Source organism: Homo sapiens, chromosome 14 (assembly GCF_000001405.40).
Source record: "Homo sapiens chromosome 14, GRCh38.p14 Primary Assembly".
NCBI lineage: Eukaryota > Metazoa > Chordata > Mammalia > Primates > Hominidae > Homo > Homo sapiens.
The window spans coordinates 95285712-95304997 of record NC_000014.9 but is presented as its reverse complement, the minus strand read 5'-3'; the positions used below and the strand labels follow the sequence as shown (position 1 = coordinate 95304997).

The following is a 19286-nucleotide window of genomic DNA, read 5'->3' as shown; positions in this document are numbered from 1 at the left end:
GGGGACTAATAAGCATTCTGCAGGTTCCGAGTACATGGGTGTCCTTCCTGACTGGAAGCTTCTCCCATAGGTCCCTACTGGACTGTTTCATGGGGACCCCCATGCCAGTATCTTTAGGTCTTTCCTCCCAGGCTGCTTGGGCTCCCCATGGAAGGGTCTTACAGTCTCCTGTCTGGAGGGTCAGACCAGGCTGCTGGGGGTGAGGAGTGGGGGGTTTCGGAGCTGCAGAAGGAAGTGGGCTTGGGAGGCATTGGTCCTCTGCATGTAGTATGTATAAAATCACTTAATCTGGCTGTTGTACAGATTGTACAACAATCTGTACAATCAGTACAATTGTACTATATAGATTGTACAGTACAATTTGCATTGAGATCTTCTCAGTATTTTTAACCTCTTCAGAGAATAAACTTCCAGTTCTGTGCCTGATGGGGGAGGGACAGTCACCCAGCTGGGAGATGTGGGGGAGGGGATGCACGGATCCGGCTGGTTCTTTCCTCTCATCCTCTTAGTGCATCCCTGCACTTTAACCCCATTTCCAGAGATACCTGCCACCACTAATTCCCGACCCTTTGGGACTTCTGGGTTGTAAATTGGCTTGGTTTTCATCCTTCCTTGCTGTCACTGAGGATGCAGATTCCTTTTTTTTTTTTCTTTTAAGACAGAATTTCTCTCTGTCGCCCAGGCTGCAGGCTGGAATGCAGTGGCACCATCATGGCAAACTGCAGCCTTGAACTCCTAGGCTCAATCAAACCTCCTGCCTCAGTCTCCCAAGTAGCTGGGACCACAGGCATGCACCACCATGCCTAATTTTGTTTATTTTTTTGTAGAGACAAAGTCTCACTATGTTGCCCAGGTTGGCATCAAACTCCTGGGCTCAAGTGATCTTCTCACCTTGGACCCCCAATGTGCTGGGATTACAGGTGTGAGCCACCACGTCTGGCTGAAGATGTAGATTTCTTTGAGTTTGCCAAATCCGTGACCACTGGTCCTTCTTGCTACCACCTAGAATTGTATTGCTGTCTCCCCTTCTTCTGTTCTTGCCATCGTTGAGGGTTTATTATCTAAATATGTAATGCATACATAAAACAAAATCCCTTTCCTCTAGGTTTCAATAAAGTTGGGAGATGGACTAAAATTAGAAGCCCAGTTGGGTCCGTCCTCATCTCTGAGAAATCTCTCCCTTCCTTTCCAGGCATCTCAGAACAGCCAGATGGGAGGCTGGCAAACAGCCAGATGGGAGGCTGGTAAATGGGTGCTGCCATCATCCTAGCTTTGGAGATTCCAAGTCTGCAGATGCCTGCTGGCTATGTTCATTCCATTTTGACCATTTCCCAGGCTGCTGCTGAATACTGGTTACCAGGAGAAATCGGGGGCATTGCAGAGGAGGCATTGGTCACACCTAATGGCTATTTTCTCAGCCGCACACTTTGGTTCATCCGTGGTTGAGGTCCCAAGGCGTGAGGGTTGGGGGCCCATATGGGGTGCAGCTGCAGAGGCAGAGGACGTTCTCTAATGAACTCCCCGCCAAGGTCCTCCCCGGCCCCTAATTGCCCATCAGTGGACTGAAAGCTCTTCTGAGCTTGGCGTGGCAGGGGTGGGCGTGGGGTTAATTTGACACCCCGCTCACCATCGTGCACTTGTTGTGATTACTGCTGTTTTAAAGCTGCAGCCTCTGCTGCACATAGGGTGCTTTGGCCCCTTGGGAGAGAAAAGCCACACCGCTGAGGGAATGAGTTATTTGGTAGAACATGCATTGTTTGGTGTTGGAGTCCTGCTTGCTTTTATAAAACCTCCTCAAGCCCAAAGCCACAGGCTCCCTGAGGGGAGAACTGGCTGGTGCCAAGTTTTTAAAGTTAAGCTTTTCTTCATGGCAGGATTAAAAGTTATCCTGCTTGAGCCTCTATCAGATACTGACTTTACTTGATCTTCTACATTTTTGCATGGTTTGGATTACCTGGAACTAGGAGCACTGTGGAAACACTCTTTGGAGACTCCAGTAAAGAACAAATCACTACCTGACCCTCCAGCACCGCTGAAATGATGCCTGCTTATCCTGCAGCCCTTATCTAGTAAACATAGTTGATCAATAAGAACAAAGCCAGAGAAAGGACAGGCTGCCTGGCCTGTGGTGAAAAGAGGAGGTGTTTGAAGCCAGGCCCAGATTTGAATTTTAGCTTCTTCACTTTGCAGCTGCAGCGCTTTAGCCAAATTATGGGTCCTTGTGGTGTGTTGGTCTCTTCTATCTGTAATGTCACTTGAACAAATAGTCAAGCCCTCCCAGGGTTGTTTGGGAGACTCAGTGAAGTCATGAGTGTTAAAAATGCCCAATACTAGTAAAGGGTTTTTATGAATCAACTTTTGTTTTTTTCCTTTATTTAAAGTAAAAGAGGAATGTGTTTGCTTTGGTGGTCAATCTCATTAATACCATTAATCGTTTTAAAATATTACCTAAATGTTGAAATGATAATACTTTGGATATAGTAGATTAAAAATATATATATTGTTAAAATCAATTTCCCCTGTTTCTTTTGACTTTATATATAACAGGGCTACTGGAAAATGTAACATTTTGTGTGTGGCTCATGTTATATTTCAGTTCATCAGGACTAGGTCTAGGCTAACCTTTTCCTTCCTCCCTCCTTCCCTCCTTCCTTCTTTCCTTCCTTCCTCTTTTTTTGTTTTAATTTTTTTAATTTTTGAGACAAAGTCTCACTCTGTTGCCCAGGCTGGAGTGTAGTGGCGCGATCTTGGCTCACTGCAACCTCTGCCTCCCGGGTTCAAGCGATTCTCCTGCCTCAGCCTCCTGAGTAGCTGGGATTACAGGTGCACACCACCATGCCCCACTAATTTTTTTGTATTTTTAGTAGAAATGGGGTTTCACTGTGTTGGCCAGGCTGGTCTCAAACTCCTAACTCAAGTGATCCACCTGCTTCCTTTCTTTTTTCGAGATGGGGTCTTGCCCTGTTGTCCAGGCTGGAGTTCATGGCACGACCATAGCTCAGTGTTGTGGTGGCCCAACTGAATGAGGTGAATGAATCGGTCACTTAGTCAGTCTGTTGGGGTGATGCTGGGGCATGTCAGACTTGGTGTCTGCACTCAGGGACCATGTTGTGGAGAGTACACAGCAGTAGTTGACACGTACTAAGTGAATTGTCTGGTTGGAGGTCTGGAATTTTTTGGAGATGGGAGAGATTATTGGGGTTGAGTGATCCAGGAAAGTTTCCTATAGAAGGACTTTGCGTTGGGTGGAGGCTCAAGTAGGTGGGGCTTGGTGGGGATGGCCTCCAGGTGACCTAGTAGGTTGGTATGAGCCAGCATGCAAGGGCAGGAATGTGCTGGTTGTTCAGGAAGGTGACCGGTCCATCCTGGGTGGGCAGCAGACCTGGGGATGAGGGAGTAGGGGGTCCTCATTAATAATGAAGTGACCTTTTGGATTCATTTTCCCTTGCAGCCATTTCACCCTGTGGACATGGCCTAGGCTGGCTGGAGGCCAGCATCCCTCAATGTGTGAGTGTGGGGTGGCCACTCCTGGCTTTTGGAGCAGGATGGTCCTCTATGAGTGGGATGTTCCACACACGGCAGGAGGTTTTAACATCCTTGAGTGAGTCCACAAAATGCCAGTCATGTGGCAGTCAAAAATTCCCCCCGCATTTCCACCTGGGAGTGGTACTGCCCATTTGAGAGCTGGTAGGGTAATAGGCAAATGAAGGGGGAGCTGTGTTTCTCCAAAGAGCTGTCCCCACTCTCGGACACACAAGAATTATGGGAACTACATGTGCCTTCACTCAAAAGACTCTTTGATGTGCAGCTTCAGCTTTGGGGCCCTTGGAAAATCAATAGTTGATGTAATAGCTGTTCTGTGAATTGTGTCCATTATAACCCGATACTCTCCAGTTGTGGGAAGAATCCAACAAAGTGACACAATAGTGCATGACCCTTTTGGAAAGTTACTTCATGGAAAATTACTTAGTGCATCAGGTGCAGAATCTGCAACTTTTATTTCTATTTTCTAAAATATTGCCTATTTTCAAGTCAAACCAACCAGAGCCCTTCTGATTCCTGAGTTAACTTCATGCAACAGCAGCTTCCTACAAATATTTATTGAGCGTCTGCTCGGTTCCAGGCTCTTTCCCAGGCACTGGGGATACAGAAGTGAGGAGAACAGACCTAGTCTCTGCTCCATGGCAGGGAGTCAGTCCCCCCGGTCTCATCGGGATATAATGATGGCTGTGATGGCAGACTACAGGGAGAGTATCTAACAAGGGGACCCTGCATTATGTTTTATGGAAGGCTGTTCAGAGAAGGTAGTGTTTTTAAGTGGAAATGAGAAGAATAAATGGGAGTTAGCCAGATGGGAGGGGGAGGAACGTTCCTTGCAGAGGGAACAACTCACCCAGAAGCCGATGTAGGCAGCAGCGTGGCTCATGGACATGCTCTATTGCCCTGAGCTAACAAAGTTTCCATTAGAGGTCTCCTTTGATCTGGAGTACCGAATACACAGAGCCCTGTGCCCTGCCAGGTGAAGATGGTCACATCTTTGCTGTTGGAGGCAGGTTCTGGATTTCTTCCATTCAGTGAAGCAATGGACTGGGGCGTTATCAGAGAGTCCAAAAGGTCTGTGATTTGCTTCTTTTAAAACAGGCTCAGCTCCAAAGAGGCTCCACAGGTTGGCTCTGACACCAGCCCACAGAGTTGGGGTGACTTTTGTTTTACTCATCTATGTGCTTTGGGGTGCCACTTCATTGTCACACTGTGGTGACTCCCGCACTGGGTGTGAGCCCTTTGGGGGCAGGATGTGGTCTCAGCCACCTCTGGGAGCCTGGCCCAGAGCTAACCCAGTGGTGCCCATGGAGTGGCCACACCGTGCCCCACTGAGCATCTGGGCCACCTCCATAGTGGGAGACGGGAGGCTGCTTTCCAATCAGAGCTTCCTGATTGAGCGTCTCGCTCTGTAGAGGCGTCTCTATGTTGGGGTGAAATTTCCGCAGGATAGGTTCCTAGAAAAACAATGATGAGGTCAAACATTTTATTGCCCTTGGTCAACATTTATGCTTGACTGCCATTCTGTTTCTTTCAGGGTATAGGTTTCTGGGTCCCCCCAAACTCCTGTCACTTGGCACTTAACACAGAAAAATGAAAGAACTATTGAGCTAGTTCTAATGGAAGGCGAGAATGAAAATGAGGAGGAAAGGTAACCAAAGGTTGGGCAGGGAAGGGAGAGGGCCAGCACAGGTCAGGTCTGCGACACTGGATTTAAATGCAGAAAAAATCCAAGTGGGAGGTGGTGGCATAGGGTGATGATCACACAGCTTAGAGCCCACAGCCTGGACTCGAATCTTGGCTCTGCCTCTTTGTAGCAGGGTCTCTTCCAACCTCAGAAGCCCTGTTTGCATCCCATCATTTACCTTCTACTTCCTAGTGGGCGTGGACAGGTTGCTGTCTCCCCACTGCATTGTGAGTCCTTGTGGACAGCAGCCCTGCTCTCATCCTCCTGTGTCTCCAGCACCTGGTGCTGCACCTGGTGCAGCATAGGCACTTAGCAAACAGTGGCATGAATGAATGAATGCCGGAAGCCCTGGTGCGTGTCCCGTGGGGCTGGAGGAGAGACCTGGCTCTTGGACAGTGTTCTTGCTCCTTCACAGTGTCTCCCATTCAGTCATGGACCCAGTGGGGCCTGGGCACTGAAGAGCCCAGAATGGTCCTCTGGATCCTGGGTTTTTGCATCTGCTCTCTCCTGACTTGGATGAGCCTTTTTGTTAGGGAAAGGGCCTGCGGCAGTGGTGGTGGGGTTGGGGGGAGCACAGCAAGGACCCTGGGCAGCCCGAGTCCCTTTTCTCTACCCGCTGGCTCTCATTCCCATTAGACCATGTGCTAACAGGGCAGGATTTTTGTCTGGTTCAATCACTGAGGCTTCCCTAATGTCAGACACATAGAGGGCACTCAATAAATGTGTAAATGAATAAACATATGAATGAATAAACATATAAATAAATGAATGAGTGCTGGAAGTACTGGAAGTGGCTTTCTGTGGGGTACCAAAGTAACTGGAACCTGGTGGTAACACAGACGCTTGTAAAATATTGCTTGCAAAGATGCCTTAGAGTCGGGAGAACCTGGATCGGACAACCTGGCCTGTGACCTGAGCAGGTTATGGCGCATCTCTAAACTCCCTTTCTTCCTCTGTAATATAGGAATGGTAGATGGTACCCTGGATGTTAGGTTAAATATGCTTATTTATGTGCACCTGTCTCCATTTCACGGTCACTTCTGTCTCTCCTGCTGTCTTCCTTTGCAGGTATAGATGTACCTCTTTTTGCAAAGACATGAATGTACTCCTGTTACAGGTCTCCTGGTTTATACTTGGGCCAACGTTCTGACCCAAGATTAACTTAGCCTGGTGGAAAGCATCTTTCTTCATTACAAAAATTGTGTGTTTGGTGGGGCAGTTGCTGGCAAGTGAGGGGTCACATTCCTGCGACTGAGGTTACTATCTCTTTGTATGACTGACCCTCTCCACTTTGGGGTGCTGGATTAGTGGCCGTGTGGCGCCTTGAACAGTTTCTGGTTCCTTGCACCAGTTTGGTCTCCAGGGTGCAGGCAAGACAAGAGAGAAGCTTCTGGCTAAAGAGGATGCCCTTCTGATGCAGCGGCAGGCTACCCTGGAGAAGCTGAGCAGAACCCACCACTCACCTTCTGGCAGATCTGAGTCAGGACAAGGGAGAGAACAGGCTCTTCTTTGTGTTTTGTGATTCACTGGGGTATAAAATCTATTGGGGGGGAAGGGGAAGGGAAGGGAGAGGACTGCAGGCAGGAGCCCAGCTAGAATTGGGTGCCATGGTGGCAGCCGGGTGGGGTGGGGTTGATCGATGACGCCATGGGAGCTGGGAGAGTCGAGAATTCTGTGACTTTAGAGCAGGCCCATCCCAGTGCGGGCAAGGCCCTGGAGCATCTGGAGCTCTCGTGTGCTGCTGGGGGAAATGCAAAGTGGTACAGCTGCTCCGGAAAGTGTGGCTAGCAGTTTCTTGTCAAGTGAGACATACTCTACCATACAGCCTCAGATTTCCTCTAAGGTATTTGCCAAGGGAAATGGAAGCATATCCACACACAAAACTATATGCGTGGGTGAGCATACATATGCATGCACTCTGTGTGTGTGTGTGTGTGTGTGTGTGTGTGTGTGTGTGTGCCTGCCATATTCATAATAGCCAAAAACTGGGCACAGTCCAAACGTCCCTGTACTGGCAAAGGGATCAACAGATTGTGGCACATCCATGCAGTGGAATACTGCTCAGGAGGAAGAAGGGAAGAACTGCTAATGCACACAGCACAGACGAATCTCAAAACCCTTCTACTACGTGGAAGAAGCTAGATTCTAAATGCTCTACAGACTGCATGATTCCATGTATATGACAGCTTGGAGAAGGCAAAATTATCAGGACAAAAAATGGATGTGTGGTTGTCAGGGGCTGGGAGTCGGGGAAGAGGATTGAGTACAATAGGACACAAAGGAATTTTGGGAGTGATGGAATATTCTATCTCTTCCGTATGGTGGTGGTTATATGGCTTTATTTGTTTGCCAGAACTCACAGAACTGTACACAGGAAAGGCTGAAATGTATGTAAATTAGACTTCAATAAATCTGATTTTAAAGAGAGACCACTAGCGAGCTGGGAATCTCCTTATCACAGTTTTTTAATGACACTGGTATGTCTGTTTAAGCAGGACTGCACAAAAGTGGCCATTTTGGTTCTGTGACCAGTGATGTGCATAAGCGCCTTCTAAGTGATTTTTGAAATCCCTTCCTCCTAAAAACCACAGGAACTCCACTGAGCCCCAGGCATAGGCTTACTTTGTAAATGAGACTTTACAGGCTTCTTTCAAGCCTAGTAAAGTGATATCTGCAGGGAAAGCCACAGATAGGAGTCCAATGGCTGCCCTTTCGCTCCCACCCCTGGCAAGCACCGAGCCCAGAACCCTTCCTGGGAACACACTAGCTGGCATTCGTTTGCTTCCTCCACCTCCAACAGAAGGTGTTCTCTTATCCCGTCTGATGGGAAGATGAAATTCAAGTGCACAGCCCTGGAGTCAGACAAACCTAGGGGTGACTTTGGATCAGTCTCGATTAGGTTTGGCTATGAATTACAGGAAACCTGAAACAACATTGTTGTAAAGCAAAACACATTCCTGTTCAAGCTGGTGTGGCCCGCTGTGCATCAGATTATCTGCAGGTTCTCAGGTTCCTCTTAGCTCATTGCACTGCCATCCCACCATGTAGCTCTTGACCTGAAGACCCAAGATGGCTGCTAGAGCTCCAGCCGTTACATTAACATTTCAGGCAGCGTGACAGAAGGAAGGATGATGAAGAAGGATCAAAGGGCGGATGCTAGCTCTCTGTTAATGGAAGTTTCAAGAAACTGCCTGATAGCATTTCTGCTGACATCTTATTGGTCAGCACTTAGTCACTGGGTTGTGATTAATTGCACAGGAAACTGGGAAATAAAGCCCATGGTGCCCACCTAAGAACAAGAGGTTCTGATTCTGTGGAGGAAAGAGAGAATGGTTATTTGGGGTGGGGAAGGCAACCAACAGTCTGTACTACAACTTCCAGTTTTGTTGTGTTTTTACAGCAGGGCTTTTGATCAGTCTTTATAATTATGTTGTAAGGGCTCTGCCCTGGTGAATGGATTAGTGTCATTATTGAGGGAGTGGGTTAGTTATCACAGGAGGTGGTCTCTGATAAAATGATAAGTCCAGCCCCCTTCCTCTCTGTCTTGTGTGGTCTCTTGCCCTTTTGCCTTCCACTATGGGATGATGCACCAGCAGATTCCAGTGCTGTGTTCTTGGACTGCCCAGCCTCTAGAAATGTGAGCCAAAATTCTGTCCAGCATAAATTACCCAGTCTGTGGCATTCTGTTATAACAGCATAAAACAGACTAAGACAACGCATTTTCCCCCTGGAACCTCCAGAGGGAATAGTGCCTTGATTTTCGCCCAGTGAGACTCTTTTGGGCTCTGACCTCCCAACCTATAAGATAAGTTTGGGTTGTTTTCAGCAACCACATTTGTGGCAATTTGTTACAACAAGGGAAACCAAGGAAGCTACTTGTGATCGGGGGAGCCTCTCTGAGGAGATGAACAATGAAGAGTAGATGACGCCATGCAAACAGTTGGGTGCACATTACTTTGGACAGAGAAAACAGCAAGTGCAAAGGTCCTGAGGTAGGACCGAACTTGACTTGTTTGTGGGTCATTCATCTGTCATTGGCCACCTGTCACTTTAAGTGGCCTGGTCCTTTGGTCAACATGAGAACACTGACCTTTGTCCCAACGGGCCTCTCCCACCCCTTTGTTTTTGTGTATGTTTTCCCTTTTGCTCTAAGTGCTCTTTTAGCCCAGAAAACTGTGCATTCAAAGAGGGCTAGTCCAGTGTCCCTTCTTCTGAGTCCTCTCCTGACACCACCCCCGGGCAGACTGACAGAGTTTCTTCTTGCCATTCTCAGCTCTTACCGTACGTATCCCCTGTGCAGCAGCCACCTGTTCATACAGTATATCTACTGCCTCTGCTGGGCTATCCCCCCAGGGAGAGCCTGCGTCTTACTCACCTCTCTGTTCTTACCAGCTGGCACAATGCCTGGCATGCAGGAAGCACAGTGCTTGTTGAGTGAAGGATAGCTCTGCCTTCACAACCAATGGCTCTGAAGTCTCCTGCTTACCCTTTCCAGTGGCTACCCTCTTCGATTAGACTGAACTAACCAGCTTGTGTGCATTGCAGCCTGAACACATTTTCCCCAGGAGCAGTGGCCTCCACCCTGTAATCATGACTAAAATTGCATCGAGCTTATTATAGGGTCGTATGAGGCAGGAGCCCAGTAGGAAACTCCAAGGAGTGAGTCCAGAGGGTTTGATGCAGAGGCTGTTTACAGAGATGGGGCAGGAAAAGGCCACCAGCAAGGGCTGGTGCAGCACCCAGTGGCTCCCAGCAGCAGGGAGCTGTTACCATTGCCAGGCCTGATGGGCAAGAAGAGGGGGCTGAATTATAGGAGCCCCACAAAGCTATCGCCTGGTGAGGGGCACTCTGGCTGGAGCTGGGGGCCCAGGTGGAAGAATGCAGCCCTGGCCAAAACCACAGCTAAGGAGCGGGAGCAAGAGTAGGAGGCAGCAGAGGAATAAGTGATGTGGCCCCTCCACCCCACGTTGTCCTGCCAGCGCCTCCCATTGGCCAAACCCAGTGAGTAGCCAGAAGACCAGGTGCCCAGTGACACAACCTGTGGAGGACCTGCCCCCAGGACACAGGGCAGGGAGAGAAAGGAAGATGAAGTAGGAGGAGGGGTGTGCAAAGGAGACTAGCACAGGGATTTATCCTAATCCTCACCATCACACCTGAAAATAAGTGCCCTTTTCTACAAGGTAGAGACCAGGAGGTAACTTCCCAAGATCATGTGACTCGGAAGGGACAGGTGAGGGAGGGGGAGCCGGAATGTGGATGCAGGTCTGTCTCCAGGGCCTTTCTGTTGGACAGGATCCTTCCCCGCGGATGCCTCTTGGCCCAGACTGGGTGCAAGGCCTGCCCCGTGCATGCCAGACAAGCACACGTTCTGCCCCCAGCCCTTCTCCTTCCAGAGGTGCCCTAAGAGATTGTGTCCTGAAACCCAGCTTTTTCCTGCTTCATTGCAGCGATCTTAACTGTAATTCTGCTGTTCTGTTTTCTTGGTTAAATTTTGTCTTCCCCGTGCAAGCAGGGGCCATGCCTTTTCCTCATCTTTGTAGTCTGTCCAGTCCCTGGCACATAGTAGGTGCTTAGCAAATATTTCTGGAAATATAAGTGAATCCAGCCCACTCCCCCACCCATTCTTTGGCAGGCAGGCTGACTGCACGCACTCTCCTGGCTGTTTAGGGTGAGGTAGGTAGGAAGAGGTTCGCCTGGGGAGTGGGGAAGCCCTCCAGCCAGACTTCTGGCCTCCTCCTCCTCCTCCTCCTCTTTGGTGTCACCCTCCAGCCAGGCAGTGGGGCTGGCACCTTCCCTGCTGGCGTTTGGTAAGTTTTAGCTAAAACGCTAAGTGAGAGACTGAGGAGGGAGTGGGAGGGAGTTTTTCCTTGTTTTCTACTTCATGTTGCCTCATTCCGTACCACGTAGAACAACACCAGACTTGGTTTCTAGAGACTGCAGGTTTGTGTGATGGTCCCGAGACCCTTGGGAAAGGAAGGAGCCTGGACCCCATTCTCAGCCTCACAGGACAGCTCAGCCAGGGGATGTGTTGTTGCCTCAGATTTATTTTTCCATTTCACAAGCCAGAGAGGGCTGCGGGGCGGGGGTGGGTGGGAGACAGGGGGCGCAGTACACCCACATGTCTCTGCCCTTCTTATCCAGTGCTGGGGTCTGTGCAGCTCGTTCCTGCCTGCTGGGAGCAGGTGCACAGAGCCCATTCTCCTGGTCTTGAATCCATAGAGAATGACAGTGAAGATCAGAGGCTGACAGACTGCCTAGGGAGGCCTCAAGATATGTATGGTTATTTGATTTGATTTAAAAACAAGTCAGAGAAAACTTGAAAATAGGGAGGAAGGGAGGAAGGAGGTATTGAGAGAAGGAAGGAAGGAAGGAGGGAGGGAAGGAAGGAGGGAGGGAAGGAAGGAGGGAGGGAGGAAAAGAAGGAGGGAGGGAGGGAAGGAAGGAAGGAGGGAGGGAGGGAAGGAGGGAGGGAAGGAAGGAGGGAGGGAGGAAAAGAAGGAGGGAGGGAGGGAAGGAGGGAGGGAAGGAAGGAGGGAGGGAGGAAAAGAAGGAAGGAGGGAGGGAAGGAAGGGGGGGAAAGAAGGAGGGAGGGAGGGAAGGAAGGAGAGAGGGAAGGAGGGAAGAAGGGAGGGAAGGAGGGAGGGAAGGAGGGAAGGGAGGGGAGGGCAGGGATTTTCCATCTCATTTACCCTGACATAGTTATTGTCATTTTAATTTTTTTATTTCTAACCATCTCCCAAATACATTCCTAGTGGTTCTCATGGCCATGGACGGCTATGTGCAAAATTGCATTCTGCTCTGTGTCACTTACCCACTTCTTTCTCCTGCTCCGTGGTTACCCCTGGATGATCATGTTTGTGGCCGGTTGGATGTGCTGGGGTGCAATTAGCCATGTCCCTGGAGGAGCAGACCCACACCGGGCACCCGTGCTCTCACAGGCCTGCGCTTTTGGAGCTTCATCTCGCCCTCCCTGAGCTGGTTCATGTTAATTTAATCAGGCTATGCTGATTTCTCTCCAGCTCCCAGCAAATCCTAGCTCGTGGGAAAGCTGGTGTTTTTAGTGGGGGCACAAGCATAATGGTCCCCACCCTCCCCTACCACCAGCCTGGGAATCTGCAGAGCAGGTGAAGTCAGAGGGTACCGTCGGTCCCCGTGAGTGTGCAGGGCAGAGCTTGCTTAGGCTTTTGACCTGAAGTTATTTAAATTCAAGGACATTTCTTAGAGGAAGGACAAAAATCAATAAGGGAGACAGTAAGGCTTTTACTTACACCTCCTGGAGGGCCATGGAGCCTGTGACCCAAGATGCAGGGGGTGGAGGTGGGGGTGGGGGTGGGGGTGGGGGACCCTTGGGGGGCAGATCTCATTACTGGTGTTTGTTTGTGTTGTTATTTTAAACCATCCTAGGGGAGCTTATGAAATCTCTGGAGACTTTTAAAAATAGCATAGTTTCTGGTTTTAAAAGTAGTACATGTCCACTGTATAAAATATGGAAAAATACAAAATGTTCCAAATGATGCCACCCAGAAATGACTACCATTTACCTTTTGATGCATTTTCTTTTTGGGCTTTTTCCCTGTGAATGTGTCGAGTTTTAACATAAATGGTGTAGAGGGTGTTAAGGACGTGTAGTTGTGTGGAGTGAGCCGCTGAATTCTCTCCATGCCTCAGTCCCCCTATCTGTGAAATAGGCCCAAAAGTCAGACCTTCCTCTCGGGCTTGCAGTGAGGCCAGATGAGGACGTGGGAACACGTCAACCCTTGGCACAGTGCCAGGAACACAGTCAGTTCTCAATAAATGCTTGTCATTGCCATTAGCAATTTCAGTCCACCATGTATATAATTTTGGATCCTATTTTTTTTCACTTTGTGTTCTGACCTCAGAATTTTCCCATGTTTTAAATGTTGGGTAACCAGCATTTTTGGGGCTGCATGCGCATTCTTTCTGTGGCTGACTTAACTGCTGTTGGCCATCCACGGCTTCTCCAGCTTTGCATGCTTTTTGGTACCTCCTGCTGAACCTCCTTGCACGTTCATTCTTGTCCCCATTTCTGGTGATCTTAGAGGACAGATACCTAGATGTGGAAATATTGGGTCACAGGCTATGGGAATTTATCTATGGGGCTCTGAATAACGTACGCTCAGCTCACTTTTAAGGAGGAGGACAGGGCTCCCCATTCCCCAGCGAGGTTTGCTGGGGCCAGTCTGACTCCGTCTCTCCTGGAGCTTTCACCTGGGCTTGGTGTTTATTTGCAGAAGTGATAATCCCCAGCCGCACCTGCAACCTGGAGCTCTGGGGATGAGAAACAGCTCCTGTGGCCAATGATATTTCCAGGAGGATGTGTGTCTGGGTTTTTTTGGCACAGGCAGCATGCGGTCCCAGGTATTAGCCAGCCCCGAGACGCAGGAGCTGCAGGGATGCGGCTCCATGTGGGCGGGATAAATCTGTTTACAGGCCATCGCCATGGCTAGGCTGCCTGGCTCCCATTTCACAGGCGCCTGCAACAGGTGGTTTCCTGGATGGCGAGCCAAGCCCCAGGCAGACAGGAAGGCTCACGCCCAGGCTCAGCTGGGTGGGTGAATGTTGTCATCAGTAACCAGGGACGCTGTCACAGCCCGGGTTCCACTCTGGCCAGCTAAAGCTTTTTCCAAGGTGGTTTCTTTTTAAATTGTTCTTGCCCTTTGGGAGAGGAAGAAATTAAGAATTTGACAGAAGAGCGTGGTCAGCTCGGAGCCCAGCAGGTGCCTAGAAGGATATTAATAATCATAGCAGCATCAGCAGCTGCGTTCCTGGCAAGCACGTGTTTGTGTCATCTCTGCTGCAAGCACAGGAGCTCCATGTCCTTGGTATTATTAGTTATTCTGCGTCGGTATCCCTAGGCTACCACCCTTCATAGAACCAGCATTCATTGAGCACCTACTGCATACCACAGCACTAGGGTGGGGATAGGAATACTGAGAAGCTGTTCTGACGCTCGGGAGCTGAAAGCACCATAAGGAGGTCCGTGGGTTTCCTAGGGCTGCTGTAACAAACTTACACAAAGTGAGCACTTACAAGCAATGCAGATGTGGCATCTCACAGTTCTGGAGGTCAGAAACCTGAGGCAGTCTCACTGGGCTAAATTCAAGGCACTGGTAATACTGCGTTCCTTCTGAAGGCCCCAGGAGAGAATCTGTTGCCTTGCCTGTTTTAGTTTCTAGAGGGCCCTCATATTTGTTGGCTTGTGGCCTGTTCCTCCATCTTCAAAGCCAGCAGCGTCTCAACTCTCTCTGACTCTGTTTCCATCAACTGTCTCTTCTCTTCTGTCTTCTGGATCACATCTCCCTCTGTCTTCCTCTTATAAAGACCCTTGTGATTACATTTAAGGCCCTCCCTGAGACTACGGGAAAACTTCTCCATCTCAAGATCCTTAACACATCTGCAAAGTCTGTTTTTGCCACATAAAGGCAACACACAGACTCCAGGGATTGGGATCTGGACATCTTTGGGGGAGCGTCAAAGTGTGACAGAGTCACAAAGCACCACCACCCAAGAAAGAAGAGTGGGCGGGGCGGACCCAGGGCATCATGGTAAGGGTTTAGCACTAGGACCCATTGCACCTGAGTGGCTTTGCACACTGTGAAGGGCTCTGCAGGTGTCAACGAGAAACAGCCTTGGATTGGAGGCAATTTGTCTTTCATGTGAGGATTAAGGAGCTTTTCTTTTTTAAAGGTTATATTATTTTGAAGATAGAATTCCCAAAAGACATCCCCCAAAGAATGGACACTTTGCCTTGAAATGTTATAGGCTTCAGCTATTGTGTTTGATTCTTGCATGTCTTTAAACCTGTCTTAGGTGGCGATTACACACAAGGAGGCCAACCCCCTGGTGGGGGAGGTGACAAGCTGGCCCCTGAGCAAAAGGACCATGGGAGACCTGGCACAGTAGGCTAAGGCAGCCAGTGGGGATTTTGGCCTGATGGGGTCATAATATGAATGGCCAGCTCCTAAGAGGATGGGGATTGGGCATAAAAGGGAACAGAGAGGACAACAGCCGAGAGGACTAGGCTGTGGAGAAAGTGGGCAGCCCAGGAATGGGGCTGGGGGATTGGGGTGGGAGGAGCCTGATTGCTTCTTTTCCCTGGTTTGAAGCCTTCAATGCCCACGCCCTCCAACACCCAGGTCTTTGTTATCAACCCTTTTCTCCTTTTAGCATTTAAAAAAATTGAAGTATAGTATACATATGATAAGGATGTAGAACAACGGTTTTTTTGTTTGTTTGTTTGTTTATTTATTTATTTATTTATTTATTTATTTATTTATTTATTTTTTGAGACAGAGTCTTGCTCTGTCAACCAGGTTGCAACCTCTGCCTCCCAGGTTCAAGCAATTCCCATGCCTCAGCCTCCCACGTAGCTGGGACTACAGGCACGCCCCACCACACCTGGCTAATTTTTTGTATTTTTTAGCAGAGATGGAGTTTCACCATGTTGCCCAGGCTGGTCTTGCACTCCTGAACTCAGGCAATCTGCCTGTATTGGCCTCTCAAAGTGCTGGGATTACAGGTATGAACCACCATGCCCAGCCTGACCAATGGGATTTATATGAAGTGTCATATAACAGTAAAGTGTACAGAGTGCCCTAACCTTAGGTGTATGTGATGTGTGCACACACCCATGGCACCGCCACTCAGATGCAGGCAGAGGCCACATCTGGAACACAAGCAGCTCTCTCTGTGCCCCTCCCAGTGATACCTACCTCCAGCGGTAACCCCTATTGTGATTCCCAGCACCATGCTGAATGTTGATTGTTTGGGAACTTTTGCATAAATGGATCCTGCAGTGGATTCTTTGTGTGTTGGCTTCTTTTGCTTGATAGTTGGCGAGATCCAGAGATCCATGCAAGTTGTGAGTTAATTCTTTTTCATTGCTGTGTAGTATTCCTTTGTGCGACTGTACCATGTCTGTTCTCCTGTTGATGGACAAGTGGATTGATCCCAGTTTTTGGCTATTATGAATGTGCTGTGAAGAACACTCTTGGGCATGTCTTTTGGTGGACACAAGCGCTTGTTTCTTCTGGCTTATACACAGGGGTGGAATTGTGGAATCAAAGGGTCAGCATGTTTTATTTTTTGTGGATGCTGCCAAACAGTTTTTGAAAGTGGCACCAATTTACAGCCTGCCAGCCAGCAATGCATTGATGTGAGCTGAAACTTCTTGATGTGTTTTGTGAGGTGTTTAAGCATAGGATCTGCCAATCTCTTCAGCCTTGTGCTTCATCACCTAGCAGAACCCTGTGCTCCAGCTGCTGTAGTTTCCATTGTTCAGATGTGCCTGATCTGTCTTACCTCTCGGCCTTTGCATCTGCTATTCCCTCTGCCTAGCGCACTGTTCCTTCCCCAGCCCTGCCTTCTCACTGGCTCACTCCTCTTTAAGGCTTCTCTTAGGCTTATCTCTTTCAAAAGCCTACTGTGATCCCAAAACCTCATTAGGTGCCCTCCCAGGGCACCTTAGTCCTCTGGATCAGCCACATCATGGCTGTTGCAACTCTGGTTTGCAGCTGTTCACGTAAGTCCTCTAAGAGTAGGACTTTGTGATAAGGCCCCTGCCTTAGGATACAGGTCTTCTGTGGGGGATACCACTGTGGCAGTATAGAAATTGTACGTGGGTTTAGAAGTAGAAAGCCCATGTGCTCTTCCAGGCCCCACTATGCTGTGGTTGTGAGATCTTAGACAGGTTACTTGACTGTTATGATTCTGTTTTCTCTGCTGCAAAATGGGCATAAAACCTGTCCAAGTCACAGACTAATGAACTAATGAACCATGAACTAATGAACAGGAAATCTTTGTACTCTGGTAGGTGATGCCTTGGTGTGCACTGAGAATCTTGATAGCCAGTAATTACGGTGGGTTGGTTGAGAGCACAGGGAGGGAAATGCAGATAGCTGGCTAGGAGCCTCTCTGCCCTCCAGAAACAGGGCTGTATGGAGAGAGGCTGATGACCTTGGACTGGAGGCTGCAGGATCCCAAGAAAGACCCAGAATCCCAGGGCATCTCCTCCCTGCAAGCCAGTGTTGTCTGAGCTTTATGGACATCTTCCAATGCTAAACCATTGAAGCTGTCATTCTCAAAGTGAGGTTCCTGGCCAGCAGCATCAGCATCACCCAGGACCTTGTTGCAACTGCAGATTCTCAGGCTCCACCTCAGCCTACTGCATCAGGAACTCTGGATGTGGGGCCTGGTGCTTCTGATGGGTGCTCAAGTTTAACAACCATGGCACTGCAGGAAGGGTGCTGCTCTCAGACCCTCCTCTCTCCCTCTCCAAGTAAGTGACAAACAGGGATCCAGCTGCTGCCTGCTACAGCATCCAGCATCCCAGAGATGCCTGAACATCGCGCCATGCTGAGAAGGGCGGGCAGGTTGAGGCAGGCCCAGCATACTTGGCTCTGTAGTTTGCATGTTGCATGTGGCCTCCATGGAGCCTGGCCACGGAGCTGGGCTAGAAAGTGACGGGGACAGTTCCCATCAGACAGAGGGTTTGTGCACAGAGAGGGCTGGCAGAAGCGGGGAGGTTTTTATTTATTTGTATAGATGTAAGCTTTGTTGCTCAAATCACAGGATTTCCCTGGTTTGCAAAGTCAGACCATTAGAATTGCCCCTCCTCTGTGCAAATTCACAGGAGGGAAGATAGGAGGCAAGGCACAAGGGGCCCTTCAGGCAAGGCTGGGATTCTAGTGAAGGTGACAGAAGCAAAATGTGGTAGCCTTGCGGGGATGACAAGACCTGGGAGGCAGCTCACGTGTGGCATCTGGCCTTTTTGTGTTAGTTGTTGGTTCTCCCTCCCAAATCATAGATGCCACCTTTCACAGCCTGGGTCTGCCTGTCTGCAAAGTTGCATGCAAACTTTCTGTGGGGTCACGTGGTGAGCAGAGGCTGGCACACACAGGTGTTGAGTGAGACCCTGATGATCCCTGACTGATCTACCGTGAGACACGTGCTCTCTCTTCAGGGCCTTTGAACTCACTGTTCTCTCTGCCTCATGGAAGGGCAGTCCCCTCCCTGCAGACTCTTGGTCTTTATGTCTTCAACTCCCATTAATTTTATAATTTTTTGGGGGTAAAATGACATTTTTATTTTGGGTGAAAACATTTTGTAACTGAGCCGAAAATCACACAACATAAAATTAACCATTTTAAAATGTGTAATTCAGTAAGATTTAGTACATTCAGAGTGTACAACCATTACCACTATCTTATTCCAAAAGTTTCATCACCCCCAAAGAAGACCCAACACATTAAGGAGTCACTCCCCATTTACCATCCCTCTATCTCCTGGAAACCACTAAACTGCTTTCTGTCTCTATGGATTTACTTATTCTAGATACTTCATTTAAATGGAAGCAGATAATATGTAACCTGTGCCTGGCTTCTTAGCATAATGTTTTTGAGGTTCATCCATGTTGTAGCATGCATCAATGCTTTATTCCTCTTTATGGCTAAATAATATTCCATTGTATGGCTATTACCTCTTGCCTCTCCATCTTCCCACCTCATTGTCTAGGACTTACTAGTGAAGTAAATTTCAGATGTTGTTCCATTTCATTCATAAATACTTTAGTATTTTTCTTTAAAAGATAAGGACTTTTTAAAAAGCATAACCACATTACCATGATCACACCTGAAATAATTAATAATATCCTTAATATCAAATAGCCAGAGGAAGAAGTTTTTCAGCCTGACATTTGATGCCCAAGCTTGCTTCGTCTCCACTCTTCTCCCCTTCCTCCTCCTCCTCCACTTCCCATAGGTCAGAGATGATCTTGCATGCACTTTACCATGTGGTCCTATATGAATCAATTGTTGGTGGCTACCTGGAGTGCTGAGTGCAGAAGGATTTTGAAGTGAAGTCTGGGATGGGTGGGAAAGAGTGCCGTGGTTGATTAACAATGCCTGCTGTGGACATGAGTGGAGGGTGTGGCCGTACCATGGAGCTTATACCTTATCCACATATCCCAGTGATCTCGCCTGTTACATACCCAGCTCAAAAGTCCACCTCATCCTGGAGCATATATCTTAGCCACATATCC

At 48.7% G+C, this 19286-nt stretch overlaps 1 protein-coding gene across 5 annotated transcripts in view, besides 1 other annotated feature; it reads left to right on the top strand.

Moving 5' to 3' along the window:
- CLMN (calmin) overlaps positions 1-19286 on the top strand; it is a 137969-nt gene that overhangs the window by 14911 nt on the left and 103772 nt on the right. The window lies entirely within an intron of this gene.
- Positions 1511-2012: an enhancer, noted in NCBI's record as "H3K4me1 hESC enhancer chr14:95769323-95769824 (GRCh37/hg19 assembly coordinates)". NCBI's record gives its function as "activates a minimal SCP1, AML or CMV promoter by ChIP-STARR-seq in naive H9 embryonic stem cells {active_cell/tissue: H9 hESC(naive)}" and the evidence as "EXISTENCE:reporter gene assay evidence [ECO:0000049][PMID:30033119]".